Source organism: Homo sapiens, chromosome 4 (genome assembly GCF_000001405.40).
Source record: "Homo sapiens chromosome 4, GRCh38.p14 Primary Assembly".
Taxonomy (NCBI): domain Eukaryota; kingdom Metazoa; phylum Chordata; class Mammalia; order Primates; family Hominidae; genus Homo; species Homo sapiens.
Window position 1 is genome coordinate 53477190 of NC_000004.12, and position 14407 is coordinate 53491596.

The 14407-nt window shown below is 40.0% G+C and overlaps 1 protein-coding gene across 5 annotated transcripts in view; it reads right to left on the reverse strand.

The window, feature by feature from the left end:
- LNX1 (ligand of numb-protein X 1) overlaps window positions 1–14407 on the reverse strand; it is a 193177-nt gene that overhangs the window by 17889 nt on the left and 160881 nt on the right. For all 5 annotated transcript variants that reach the window (XM_005265785.6, NM_001126328.3, XM_024454262.2 and 2 more), the window contains 2 exons: window positions 4531–4665; window positions 1376–1553 (listed from right to left, as the gene is read on the reverse strand). In XM_005265785.6, coding sequence (XP_005265842.1) covers window positions 1376–1553; window positions 4531–4665 — 313 coding nt within the window. The remainder of the gene's footprint in view (window positions 1–1375; window positions 1554–4530; window positions 4666–14407) is intronic.

Below are 14407 nucleotides of genomic sequence, written 5' to 3' on the forward strand. Positions count from 1 at the left end.
TAAAGCACAGCTATCGGTGTTTTACACAAGAATACCGCTGAAGGAAGGAAGGAAGGGAGTGAGAGAGGAAAATTAGTCTTGTTCACTATTTAATCAAAGAAAACCTACTTTTTCACTCTTTTGTTTCTTGTTTTTAGCATAAAGTAGGAGGATTTGGCAAAAGCTCCAGCATTTGCACGGAGCCAGGCATGTAGTAGGCCTCCAGTAAATATGGATTGAATGAAAAGAAACTACCCATGAGAGTGTCTGGCAGAGGAGTCTTGGAGCTGCACTCTTAAAGAAGCAGAAAGAAAAACATTTTCATTGCTAAGGTGAAAATAGCTACTATTGGTTAAGCGCCTACTATGTGCAGGATCATTTCCATATAGATCATATAATCCTCTAGCTTATGTTCTGTTAACAAGTCATTTGTTAACAAGCCACTTTGTTTGGCCTCATCATTTTCCACCCAGATGTTTTGCAGAAAAGAGAAATTAAAATATACATCTCCCCTATTTCCATTTTCTATTTTTTTATCTTCATCCTGTTTTTTTCTGTCCCCTTTTGCTTAACTTTCTTATACAGAATAACCACAGCAAGAGCAAAAAGACAGGAGGAGAAAAAAGAGAAAGGCCTTGAGTCCTTTCTGACCCGAAAGAAGCATCTTTCAGACAGCTGACTAAATCTCTTAAGATACCATCCCCCTGTGGCTCCTCAGGCTCAGCAGCTGTACTTGGGAAACTTCACAGTTTATCTCTTGAACCTGGACTTTTAAATGGCATAATTCCTCACCCATCTGAGCTACCTACCCTCTTGAATGAATTGACAATATTATTAAGGATACATATTTGTAGAGGCAAATTTGATATCATCTTCCTTTATTTACTCAAAGTAGCCCAGAATACATGAGCTTAAAGTAGTGAAATAATTTTCACTCTGGGAAAGTATCCAGCATGATACTTTCACTTAATGAGTATTCATTGAATCAAATCTATCAAATGACTTTTTCTATCTAACCCATATAATTGAATAATTCATGAATTATTTCATGAATTCCACCACCGGATCAACCCACTAAAGAACCACTTAGAATGAATGGAACTACATTATGCCATTTAATAGAGGTAACTTGCTCATAACTGTAGCAGTTCTCTATTAATTCCTGGAACAGTTTGGAGATTCTAGCTTTACTTGCAGGCAAGTTGGCCTGCAACTAAGAAAAGTGGAACCTGGTCTAGTATCTATACTCAAACCAATCATGGTCAATGGGTAACAAAAGTCCTGGCCGATCACTCCCACATTCTCTCATTAATTTTGAAAATAGTCACCTAACAAGCTACTAATTTCTCTTGATTCTCTGCCACCCCAGTGCCTTTAAAATCCCTTTACTTTTTACCTGTTTTTATTCTTCCATCTCTGCTTATGACTCCTCCGGGCTCAACACTGATGACATAGATAGGCAAATCCCATTCTCTATGTGATGCTCCCCCTGCGACGGTCATGCCGAGAGATTCACCGGGGTCTTTTTGGATATTTACCACCTTCTCATGACAAGTAATTGTAGGATGGAGGGGCTGAAGGCACAGATGGAAAAACATGGCACATGAATTCACAACTCTGGTAGTTTTTGAATGTAGAAAATGCAAAGTGGGTTTCCATTTTCTAAATGCAAAAATTACCAAAGCTGCATAAATTATGCAAAGTGCATAAATACAATGGTGGTTCTTGAAATCACAGAGAAAGACACCTGGAAAGAACCCTCACCTTATCCACTCCCAACCATAATAGGGTTACATTGTCCCAAATTCTACAGGTTAACTCAGATAAAGTTTACACTTCAAAAGGAAAGAGTAAAAATGGAGGAAGGAACCGATTACAGACCATTAGAAAAATATATTTCTAAAATATTTTCATAGAGAAAAAGTATTGCTTTGTTGCTCAGGCTGGTCTGGAACTCCTGGCTCCAAGTGCCTTGGCCTCCCAAAGTGCTGGGATTACAAGCATGAGCCACTGCTCCTGGCCATGGAGGAATCTTAAGCACACAGAGTGAACTGCACCCAAAATTTCTCAAGTGAGTCATTTATTCCTGATAGTAGTGAGTCAGCATTTCAAAAACACTCTGTCATTTATAAATATCAGAAACTTTTCTATGTTAAAAAAAAGTAACCATATTTTATAGAGTCTTCTTTCACACCTGCTCAGTGCTTACCAGGCAGCCTTGCCTGCGGTGAGCAAGAGATGTTTAGTTGTGCACTGAGGGGCTGGATGCAATGGCTGAAATACCACAAATATGGCATGTGTGCATGTGTCCTGTCTCATGAACCAGTGTCCATGACCATTTCCTTTCTTAACCAGAAAAGCGACCAATGTCAGCAATGGAAAAAGAAAATCATCTGTGAAAGCTTCACACCCAGGGTTACCTGACTTTGGCTGGAGAGGAGGAGAGTTACGTATGAAAGAGATGACTTTTCTATCTATCTTTTTTCGCCATTCTCCTCACCCTACTTTGGACACCTTACAATGTTCCTTGATGTTTAAAAACATAATTTATGGTAAAATAGTTTAAGCTAATTAAAAACACAATGGGTACCTGAATATTTCTCAAACTATAAGATGTATTTCCATTTTAGAATATTTGCTTTGGATATTTAGAATAAAACATTTTAGACAAGTAAAAAAGCATAAAGAATAACAGAATGACCTACCCATGTACCTCAAAACCCTACATCAGAAATAAACATTCCATGTGCACTTAGTCGCTCTATGACTCTTTCTGCTCATAGGCCTTGCCTCCCCACAGAGGTAAACCATGCAAAATTTGATGCCTAGCATTCCTTAACTTTTTTAATTGGCTAAAAGTTTTCTGTCCCACAAATCCTGCTTTGTCTTCTTTGGTATTTCTTTGAATTGTTTAAGCTCTTATTTTTAAAAAGCTACCTGGTTTCCTAAACCAAACAAGATTTTAGTAAGAATATAAAAACTGAAATAATCAAAGAGCCATATATGTCTCAGTTTTTTTAAATATGTTACTTTTTTGTGAGGATATTTCAGAAGTCAGATAGAATATAAGTTAAAACGGAAATAATTACAATTCCGACTAAGTCAGTTTGCACGTTTCCAGGAATTAAGACATATGACAGAGGGTTGCAGCAGAAATGTGACCAGATCCTCCCAGCTCTTTCATGATGAGGAGGTGGAAGGAATTCTAAAACCACAGTGCAGATGGAGGCTACCTTCTCCATAATTTGATGACTTAGAATATGACGTATTCTAGTTAATTCAACTAAAATTAGTTAATTGGATAAAAACTTCAATTAATTAATTAAGCTAATAAACTAGTTTTTCATTAATAAAGATGATCAGTTAAATTTAAACATTAAGCATTTACTAGCAAAAAGACATCACGGAGTCCTTATCCATAAAATGTTTTAGCAGGATATATCTGGTCTGTCTAGACTCCTTATTGTAGAGAAACAGGTAATTTATGGATTTATGAGGCTTGGCTGGCTGGAGAACCTGGAGGGGTGTATAACCTTGTAGGCTATGTAATTAACATAGTATAAAGCAGAGATGTTCCAAAATAAAAAATTTGAATATTGTTTCTCTATATATTACTCAAAAACTCAATTTGTAAGCTATTCCAACCAACATATAGATTGACGTAGAAAGAAAAGGGCATTCCCTACTTTCTGTTGCAAGAAGAATGAGCTACCTTTAAGAATTTTTTTTAGTTACAAGTGATGCCATGAAACCAGAACTCAGGAGAGATGACTGAAAGAAGCTCATCAGCATCACAACAGGATGCCAAGCCAAAGCTATAGGACTCTTAATTTGGACTAAACAAGGTTTGTGTTGCTTAAACACGCATCCAAATGAAGAGGTTAAGGCATTGCCTCTAATAGAAGCCACAGAGAGAAGTACAAATTGGGCTGAGTCACTTCATTTAAAGTGAGGCTGCAAACTGGTGGCCTGAAGAATGAATTCCACCCACAGATCCACAGTGTTTTAGAGTTTTCTGGATTTGAATGCCATATAACATGTGCTCTCTGGTTTGCCCCAATCCCCACCACTCCCTAATGTTACATGAGCTTCAAGTGTTTAAATTATCTTCCTGGGCCCTTCGGCAAACACAAACAAAAACTAAAAGTAGCGGGGAAATCACTCATTTCTAGGCAGACTGAAAAATTCAAAAGCCAGAAACCAGGCAAACTGCTTGCTTCATTTCAAAGTGAATAAAATAAGTCCTCAAACAAGATGACTCTTGGTAAAAACATGCCATTTATTTGGCTTAGGCTAGAAATCAGGTCCCTGTATGAGGTCTGCATGATCAGGTTTCAAAACTTTCCTGCACCTTCTTCTCTCCTGCTTGGATGGGAGACACCTGTTATCTCTCCAAGTCTTAAATATGGGACTTTGGGCTTTTAGTTTTACAAGTCAAAGTGTTTCTTTAAGTAAAAAAGTCCAGAGATGACACTTAGACATGTTAAAACAAGCAGCCTTCCCAAGAAATAGCCCCTTGCAGGAGCAGGCGACCTGCCCTAGAGGCCTCACCTTGGGAGTGTTGCTCCTCTCCCCTGGCCCTGGGGACCAGCTGCCATTGCTGTTCCAGCCGGCTTCCTGAAAGATGTCAGGGCTCCGCTGCCGAACCTGGCGGGACACGACGAGGTGAACACGTCTTTCACTGGCCTGGGCAAGAAGACACAGGCATTAGCCACTGTCAGTTTCCATCCACTGCATTCAGCACCAGGAGCTTACAAAAACATCACTTTGATTATACCATTTTTTTATGGCAAAACATGATTTCTAGTTTGTTGGGTTTTTTTGTTACTATCCATCTTGTAATTTGCCAAGAGCATGAGAGCTCTTTCCTTTATCCTTAAACCAGGTAGTAAATGTTGCTCCAAGGGAAAACTAGGGAAGGTTTGGTTCCTTCCAATCTTTGAAAAGGCATCATCAGATATTGCTAATTCATTTTTAATTAATGGTTGTACCACACACAAGCCATGCCCTAAGTTCTTCCCAGATAGAATTAGGTGCACTGTGTAAAGTAGCAGCCCAAAGCAAAGATCTAAGATCAATGGTACACAGTAAAGAAAAAGAGATGGAGTTAATGGCAGTAACTTGCCACTGCAGGAAGAGAAATCCTGAGCCTGACACTTGCAAATATTTGGGCATAGGAAAGGTTTAGCACTTTAGAAATATGGGGATGACTTCATACATTAATATGTACAACCTAATCAAAATCCTTTACCTTCAATTCACAATCACAAAGACATGGAATCAACTTAAGTGCCCATCAACTGATAGGTAGATAAAGAAAATGTGGTATGTATATACCATGGAATACTACTCAGCCACAAAAAAGAATGAAAAAATGTCTTTTGCAGCAACTTGGATGGAACTGGAGGCCATTATTTTAAGTGAAGTAACAGAGGAATGGAAAATCAAATACTGCATGTTCTCACTTGTAAGTGGGAGCTTAGCTCTGGAGATGCAGAGGCAGAGTAATATAATGGACTTTGGAGACTCAGAAAAGGGGAGGGTGAGTGGGGTGAGGGATGAAAAACTGCCTATTTGGTACAGTGTACACTATTCAGGTGACAGGTGCACTAAAATCTCAGACTTCACCACCATACAATGCATCCATGTAACCAAAAACCACGTGTATTCCTAAAGCTATTGAAATACAAAATGTTTAAAAAACTGCAAAAGAGTAATTTGCCTTGATTTCTTTATTTTTTATGGAACTACCAGTTACTCTGCTAATTCTCTCTGCTATGTACATTGATATTTGGACAGGCATTCAGAATAGCAAATATAGTACTTATTGGAAAGGTCCACTCCACATCATCGATATGGTTTGACTGTGTCCCCAGTCAAACTTCACCTTGAATTGTAGCTCCCATAATTCCCATATGTCATCGGAGGGACCTGGCAGGAGGTAACTGATTCATGGGGGTGGGTCTTTCCCATGCTGTTCTCGAGATAGTAAGTCTCACGAGATCTGATGATTTTATAAATGGGAGTTCCCCTGCACAGGCTCTCTTGTCTGCCACCATGTAAGACATCCCTTTGCTCTTCCTTCATCTTCCACCATGACTGAGAGGCCTCCCCAGCCATGTAAAACTGTGAGTTCATTAAACCTTTATAAATGACCCATTCTCGGGTATGTCTTTAATAGCAGCATGAGAGCAGACAAATACAATGATACATTTACAAATTGTCTTTCTGCCACAGATTAGTTTCACATGTGTCAGGTAGTATGGGCCATTATTCCAGAATTGCTGACCATTGAGATTTCAGAGCTGCAGGTCATTCAGACTAAATCTTAGACCTATGAAACTCACATAAATAGAGCTCTCTGGTGGCCTAGGCTGAAGTAGCCAGCTGACCTCATTTATCACTTTAGTAAAAGTTGAAAATGAATGAGATATGGAAGATTTGATTAGAAAGATTCCCAAGACAGACCTGGTTTAGGGACAAGGGAGATGGAAGAGAGAGGAGTAAGGTTTGGTGGTTCCTCTCTTCATCCCATCCCTTGCCCACTCACCACCACAACAGAGAAGGGGCAGTGACCTGCCAGCTTTCTTCCTATACAGGGATGGTTATTGGGCTAGGGGAGAAAGGTCATGAAATGAGGGCATTGAAATTCCATGCTCTTTTGCATTGACTCAGACAATGGTGGTGGAGATATTTTCTTCCTGCCTGCTATGGTCTGAACATGTTTCCCCAAAATTCAGATGTTAAAATCCTAACCCACAACACGGCAGCATTTGGAGGTAGGGCCTTTGGGAGGTGATTAGGTCATGAAGGCAGGTCCCTCCTAAGGGGATTACAGCCCTTATGAAAGGGGCTGGAGGAATCTTGTTTGCCCCTCTACCATGTAAGGACAAAGTGAGATGGTGCCATCTGTGAGGAAGTAGCCATCCCCAGACACCAAACCGGCTAGTGTCTTGATCTTTGACTTCTTGACCTCCAGAACTGTGAGAAATAAATTTATGTTGTTTACAAGCCACCTAGGATAGTGTATTTTGTTATAGCAGCATGAATGGACTAAGACAATGCCTTTTCTGCATCTTCATTCCCAGAGCACACAACTCACTCACTCTCAGGAACTAGGACCTTGTTTTAAAAATCTCAAGTAAACACTTTGGGAGGCTGAGGCAGGCAGATCACTTGAGGTCAGGAGTCCAAGACCAGCCTGGCCAACATGGTGAAACCCTTTCTCTACTAAAAATACAAAAATCAGCCAGTCGTGGTGGCAGGCACCTATAATCCCAGCTACTCGGGAGGCTGCAGGAGGAGAATTGCTTGAACCCAGAGGGTGGAGGTTGCAGCGAACCGAGATTGTGGCACTGCACTCAAGCCTGGGTGAGAAAGCAAGACTCCATCTCAAAAAAAGAAAAAAAAAATCTTTAGTAAAAACCATCCACCAATGAAACAATATCCCTATGGTTGTCTGACACTAACCAGTCCAAATCTTCATGACTTTGCACTCTTATAACACTTCTTCTCAGGGCTCTCTTGAAACTTAGGGGTCATGATTTGGGTGGCTGTAAATTAAAGGAACTTTTAGAGACAACTGCTAGCGTACAGTAAGAGTGTCTATTGTAACATCAAAATGGATGATCGGCCAGGTGAGTTGACTCATTTCACAAAAACTAGAAAATCCTTCTGAAAAGGGCCCAAAAAAGAAGTTGGAGTCCTCTGCCCATGTCCTTCACACAAAGTCTGGCCATCACTTCTGATCTCCCCAGACAAGGCTAATGTGCCCTTCCTTTGTTTACCTATCTTGAATTCCCTGGTGTTTCTCATCACATATAAAGCTTGTGTCTGAACAGAACAAAAATAAAAAGCCCAGGAAACAATCGTGAAGAAAGCTGACATGAAGAACGATGGAATTAGCTGACTAAATCCAATTCTTGGAAGAGTATTTTGTAATAGCTGTGTCTTTCTTTGTACTATAAGCCTCCCTTCTTCTAAATAAGATTATCTTTGGGAACTCTCTAAAGCAAAACTTACTAAAAGATAAGAAGTGGTGAACATTCAGGTCAAAACCCCAATTACTGAGCTCGAATTTGCTCTCTTTGGGGAAACTCCGATGTTTTGAAGGATCCCAGCAGAGTGTCCATAGGCTTGCAAATTGTATCATGTTCATTTTGGATGAGGAGTAGCCACATGATCTAAGCACCTCATAAGAACTGAGAAAATTTTAGACTTGCACATCGAATCAACTTGCCAGGCAAAATCCAAATTGCCAAGGAGAAGCCTGCAAGAACTATTTAATTCACATTTTCAAGGACAAATTTCTCACTGGATTTTCAAATGCTGGCTTTGGTATTAAGTTGTTGACAGGAATAACACTACAATAAATAATTCTGGTATCAATTTACTTGGAAAGAAATTCTCTGCAAGACTGGATCTGTGGCTCTTACCAGCCACCTTGTAAATTGCTCACAGGAAGACTTTGATGTACTTTTGTGGTGTTTGAAGATATAAGGTGGAAAACGGGCTAATATGCTTGTCCTGGCTTTAACTCCTATCAGGAGCTGGATTCAATGCAGAGAAACATCCCCTAGCACCAGAGAATCTTTCTTTCCACTAGTATCAATGTGGTGTGAGTGTGAGGAGGGGGAGTATAGGGGAGACACAGAAAGACTGAATGAGAAAATGGCAGAAACTTGTTTATTTCACACCTATGTGATATGTACCAAGAAAGTGGATACAGCAGAGCTGTCATTCCAGCAAGCAAGGAATAGCTTACTGCAAGAAAGAGGTAAGACAGCTTCTCTCTTGCATCTCTTGGGATGTTGCAATTTGGGCAAAAGGATGGTTTAACAATGGTGGCTACCTTAATTAGAAGACATGACTTAAAGTTTCCTCTCCTCTCTCCCTTAAGAATCCTAGATTGTGATCTAGGCAAATTCTGGACACACTGGTTACAACCTGCATAGCTTGACTGCTGTACCATATTCTTTCCCTCCCAAGAGCTGAAGCATTAGACTCCCTCTCTCTTTTCCGCCCTGCGCCAGTTCACCCCTCCTTAGGAAACTTGGTGGTCCTCCGCTCCTGGCAGAGCACCATATTGATGCCAAACTTAGTGAAGCCACCCAATCGGCAGAGCGCACTACAGCCCCAGAGCTCCTGAGCTCAAACGACTCTCCCGCCTCAGCATCCAGAGTAGCTGGGGCTACAGGCATGCCACTTCACCCAGCATCCCTCTCTTTTTTCTACAGGCCAAGAGGAAGCGGTTCTGATGCCATCCATATTCTCCCCTGTGGACTTTAGCTTATTGGCAGCCTCCTGACAAGCACTCTGTCCCCAAGGCTGATCTGCCTGCCCTGGGCAGACAACACACTGGGAACCTTGAGGACATGGTTCCTGCCCTCCCGGAATGTTTCCTACTGCAGGGACAGTCAGATGGGAGTGCCATGAAAGAGAAATGGGGAATATACTTAAGGGTCTCCAGAGGTGGGACCAATTACTTCTGGCTGAGGAAATAGGAACCATCTAATATTCAGAGAAAAAAAAGAGGGTTAAAACTAAGTAGCGTCTGTATGGAAGGACTGGCTTTCTGTCGTTTTGTTTAATGACTGCTTTTCTCTGTTGAGATTTGACTCAAAATTGCCAATCATATTTATATGATGGAACTTAGCATTTTGCAGAGCTATACACTGGAGCACATGGCATCTTTCTACTGTTTTGGCATTGCATGAATCCATACAGTGACTAAGAGAAGAAAAACATAGTCCAGAAGCCTCATTTATATGTACCCATCTTTAAATAACAAAGCCTATCTCTTATAGCTGGAAGGAGTCTGGGAGCGTTGCACTGTGACCTCTTGCCAAGCAAGCATCTTCCTTTGTGTTCAGCCTGCAACTGACTCTTTCTCTTCCAAAATCCACTATGGCTGATGAAAACTGCTCATACTGTCAGGGCGTAACATAGATTTGCAACTTCCCAGAGCAGAGAGATGGAAGTCAAACATGCCACCACACAAGGAGCAGCATTTTGCAGAGCTGTACACTGGAGCACAGGGCATCTTTCTACTGCCTTGGCATTGCATGAGTCCATACAGTGACTATGAGGGCCAGTGAAAACGTACAGGGGGAGTAAGAACTGGTCAAGTACCTGTTCTCATCCAGCCAAAGGCTTCACCTGCTCATTGGCAGAGACAGATTGGAGTTAAGCCAAATGCATGATAACATTTGCTGCCTTTTTGAGATATAGGTATATGCTTAAGTAAAATGTATGATAAACTATATAAAATGCACTGGGTTCATTTGTTATTGTGTTTCTTGTATCAGTTTTATAAAGTTTCAAGTTAAGAAAGTTAAGAGTTGCCACCCTCTCCCCACAATGCCCCAGGGTATTATTCTATACACACACTTGAAAGGAGACTCCAAACCCACTGCTGGGCATCAGGACCGTGTTGTTCAAAGTAGGCAGACCATGTACATAGCTTCCTTTATAGCATAGCCTTGGTCCACAGGAGACTCATGCTTGATTGCGTGGGCCCCTTGTTACAGAAACAGGTGAGAGCTGTAATGCGACTGATAACTATATAAGCTGCTTATAGAGCTCGTCCTCTAGGGTTTCATCATCAACATATTTTACATTAACCTGATATTTTAATAATCACTTCTTTAAAAAATGTATTCTGCATTCCTCATTGGTTTCTTTTCCAAGTATCTCAAAATGAGACAGTTTGGCTTTAAATGATTTTTCAACATATGCTTGTGGGGATGGCTCTTTCTACACTGTCTGTGGTTGCCCCATTTTAGAATCCCTTCCAGCAACTGTTCAAATATCATTCTCAGTGAATCCATCTTGTGCTCACAAAGCCCTGGGAAATTGTGAAGGCACTGGTTCCATAAAATTAGAAAGTCACAGACACACAAGAAATGTCAGACATCATCTCATCCAACATTTTCTCTATAGCCTATAATTCAATTTCCCTACAAATTCCTTGCCATGTTGTCACCCAGTTCATGCTTCAGTACCCCCAATGACAGGGAGCTCACTGTGTCCCAAGGCAACATTGGCCATTTTTAGATAGCACTAATTTGAATGTTTGTCCTTAGGTTGAACTTAAATTTGCCATCCTATTGCCTGCCTATTGGTCTAGTTATGCCCAGTAGGGCAACCCCACATCAATTTCCCTGTGACAATCCTATTTGAGGATCACTCTCATTGCTCTCTCTTAGCTCTTTCCCTTTCCAGGTCAACTATTCCTAGTTTTTTCCACATTAAATATCTTTTCAAGTCATCTAAAAAATGTAATAAGTTCTGGACTCGCTGTAATAAAGTTGTGTGTGTGCACATGCAGAATAGAACCCAGAAGATGAGTTCTGGACTGACCAGTATAGAGTGCAGTAGTTTTGTTGATGAACCAGCTGCACTGAGGACCTCATTAATGGCGTTTCAATTTTGTCATTCATACAAGCATAGGGGATTGTCTCTATGCTCTATGAATCCAAAAACTCAATCGATTCCTGTCTTTACCTATGGATTAATTGAAAGGTGACAAGGAGGTATTCAGGACTGCACTATAGGACAAATTATAGCAGAGCAGCCCACCCCTGAGACCACATGATGCCATACAGACCTTACATGACAATACAGACAACTGGAAGCATCAGAACCGAATGATATGCTAGAAAAAAATCAAAGTCATCAGTCATTCCGGTTGATATGTCAGTGTATTTCACAACAAGGTTTGGAAACAGAACCCTTCCCCTTCCCTTCCTTCCAGTGAACAAAAGAACTTCCAGGGAAAAAAAATCCTCCCACTGAGCAACGAGTTGGAGGCTCCAGAAATATAACTCTAGAATGAATTAATGGTGTACTATAAGTTGATATTCCCTATAAAATGAGTTTGGTCAGAGCAAATCTGGTCTGTATTAATTTGTTTGCCATTGAAACTTTGGACCCCCAGAAAAGTGCCTGATATATTATTAAAAAGTTTATGAGTATCTCATGCTGAAGAGGTGGTAGCTCCTTCAATGAGCTAAAAGCAATCAGTCTGGCCAAGGAGAGAGAAAATTAAGGAGGCTTTGAAGAAACATAGTAAATAGGATCTTAAGATTTGATCAGGGTGGAAAAGGAGAATTAGGGCAGCAATATGGTTTATTTTTCCCAGTAGACTATAGCTCCATGTTCATCCTTATGTTCCCAGAAGCATGTATCTTTAGATGCAAAGACATTAATGATAATACAGATGGTGACTTATATGGGGTCATACAGATGTCAGTGACAAGGGCAAGACACAAGGATTTAGTTCTTGAGTCCCTGAATCTGCTGGTGGCTGAGTCAGTAAAATGACTCAGCATCCTTGCCTCAGACACCATTTCTTTTAGGATATCTAGAAGTTACTCTCATGATTATGTTCTATAAAAATATATATATTTGGGGGGATATGTGGGTTAGAGGAAGGGTAGTGAAGTTTCAAGATCCCCTAATATTTGCAGTGTGTAGCTGCACATAATATTCACTCATGAAATTCTAAGTTGAAAAGCTGTACAGTTTACCAAGTCACACACTTTATCAAGAATGCATAAAATTTGGAGCCCTAGATAAAAATCACTTGGACTTTGAGAATTCAGCTCAAGGAGATTAAAAAATATTCTATAATCAAGTCTATGTGCATTAAATTTACCACAAACCATGGTAAGACAATTTATTTAAGTAGGGATTTAATTCCAGATTAAGTGTACTGATCTGTTAAAAAAAAAATACAGATCTATCAGCTTTTATTTCACTGGCAATTCTTACTGGCTCCGGGGGACTTGAATGTTTACAGTACCACAAAAGTTCTACCCTTTTTTGCAGGTATGGCAATGCAAATAGTCCATTATTGGCTTTGTGGCTCTGTCTGAAGGTCTATCTCATTAAAAAAAAAGTTTGAAGAGCCTGTTGTCAAATGTTCTTTGATGAAATGAATTCTCATTTAAATATTGATTCATATAAGGAAAAAACAATTACACATATGCCGGTATTGATGAAAGCCCCTATTATCATTGGCTCTAGAAATGGCTTTGAGTATTTTCAGTTTCTGCATCAAGTCTGGAATTGCCTATGGAAAAAAGGCTTAAGAGGGACATTCAAATTTGAATCTTTGGTCCATTATTTCTTTGTTCTGTTATCTTAGCTATGACATCAGACAGTTCCAAAAAGCTGCCTCTTTCATACAGTTATTCCAGTCATGATTGGGAAATTGACTTGAGAAATTGACAATGGAGAAAAATAAAATTGTACTTAGTAGCTACATAAATCATCAGCACCATATTTGAGGCTTCTATCTCCATAAGGACTTTCTTCTTAAAAGGGCCTGGCAAACCCAGGCTGCTGCTGAGTAAGCTGAGGTTAGAGCTCAACATATGTAAAGCTGGTCAAATATAAAATGGTTGTGGCCTCTCTGTAATAACTCTTCCCTGAAGTAATGCAGAAAAAAAGCTGAATGTGGGGTACTGTGGGAGAGAACATGACCAAAAAACATGTTGTCTGGGAATTTCTTTGTAAGGCAAATGTGATTCACGGAGTAGACATACAAAGGCAACATAGCCAAGGATTGGTTAGAAATTTGAGTCTCAACATTTGAAGGGTATTTAGTTTAATCCCCTCAGCCTGGTGTGTGTTACAAATATCACATAAATAAAATCCACTCTTCAGAAACGGCATGCGATTGCTTAGCTAGGTTTTTCCAACATTCCGTGTTTTCCATTTCTTTTTCAACTAGCTTTGCTCCCATTTTTTTTTAAAAGGTTTTTCCTGCTTATAAAGCACGTTGGCTTTGTTTAGTAAGCAAAAGAATCTTTTAGGAAGTCCCAGTGTTAGGCAAGGTTTTATTCCATAAATTAACTTTCTCAGGGAAGAAACTGTTTTTGCTCTTCTGTTATTAATCTACAAAAGCAAAATGCCATATGTAGTCAAGATTTTTCCAAATGACATGATGAGTAAGAGTTTTTCTTTTGCTTATTGCGAAGTATAGTTGGCAAACATTATCTCCAGGATGTGAGTTGCACCGATTGACCTGCAGAGGGAGTTAACAAGTGTAACATGAAAAAGTACTGGTGGTCACCTAAAAGGCTAGTTTTCAAAGTGAGAAAAAAAAAAAAAATCTTGCTAAGAATGCAGTTTCTTCATAAAGAAATACAATGGACTCTCCCTTTTCCATGTGTGAAGGTTTTCATAAACATAGCATATTTTCTCTTCTCATTGATTGGCCGGCTAATGCCACCTGCCTAATGCTGACTTGGTTCTTTTGAGATAAAAGGCAGGAATACATTCCAAGCTCTACCAGGCCAGGAACTGTACCAACCTAGTTCAGCATGGTACCACACACCTCTTGGCACAAAGAAGTTGCTCAGTCAATAATCACTGAACAAATTCAAGGAGACAAAGAGTAGATATGGTATCTTGGGGACAA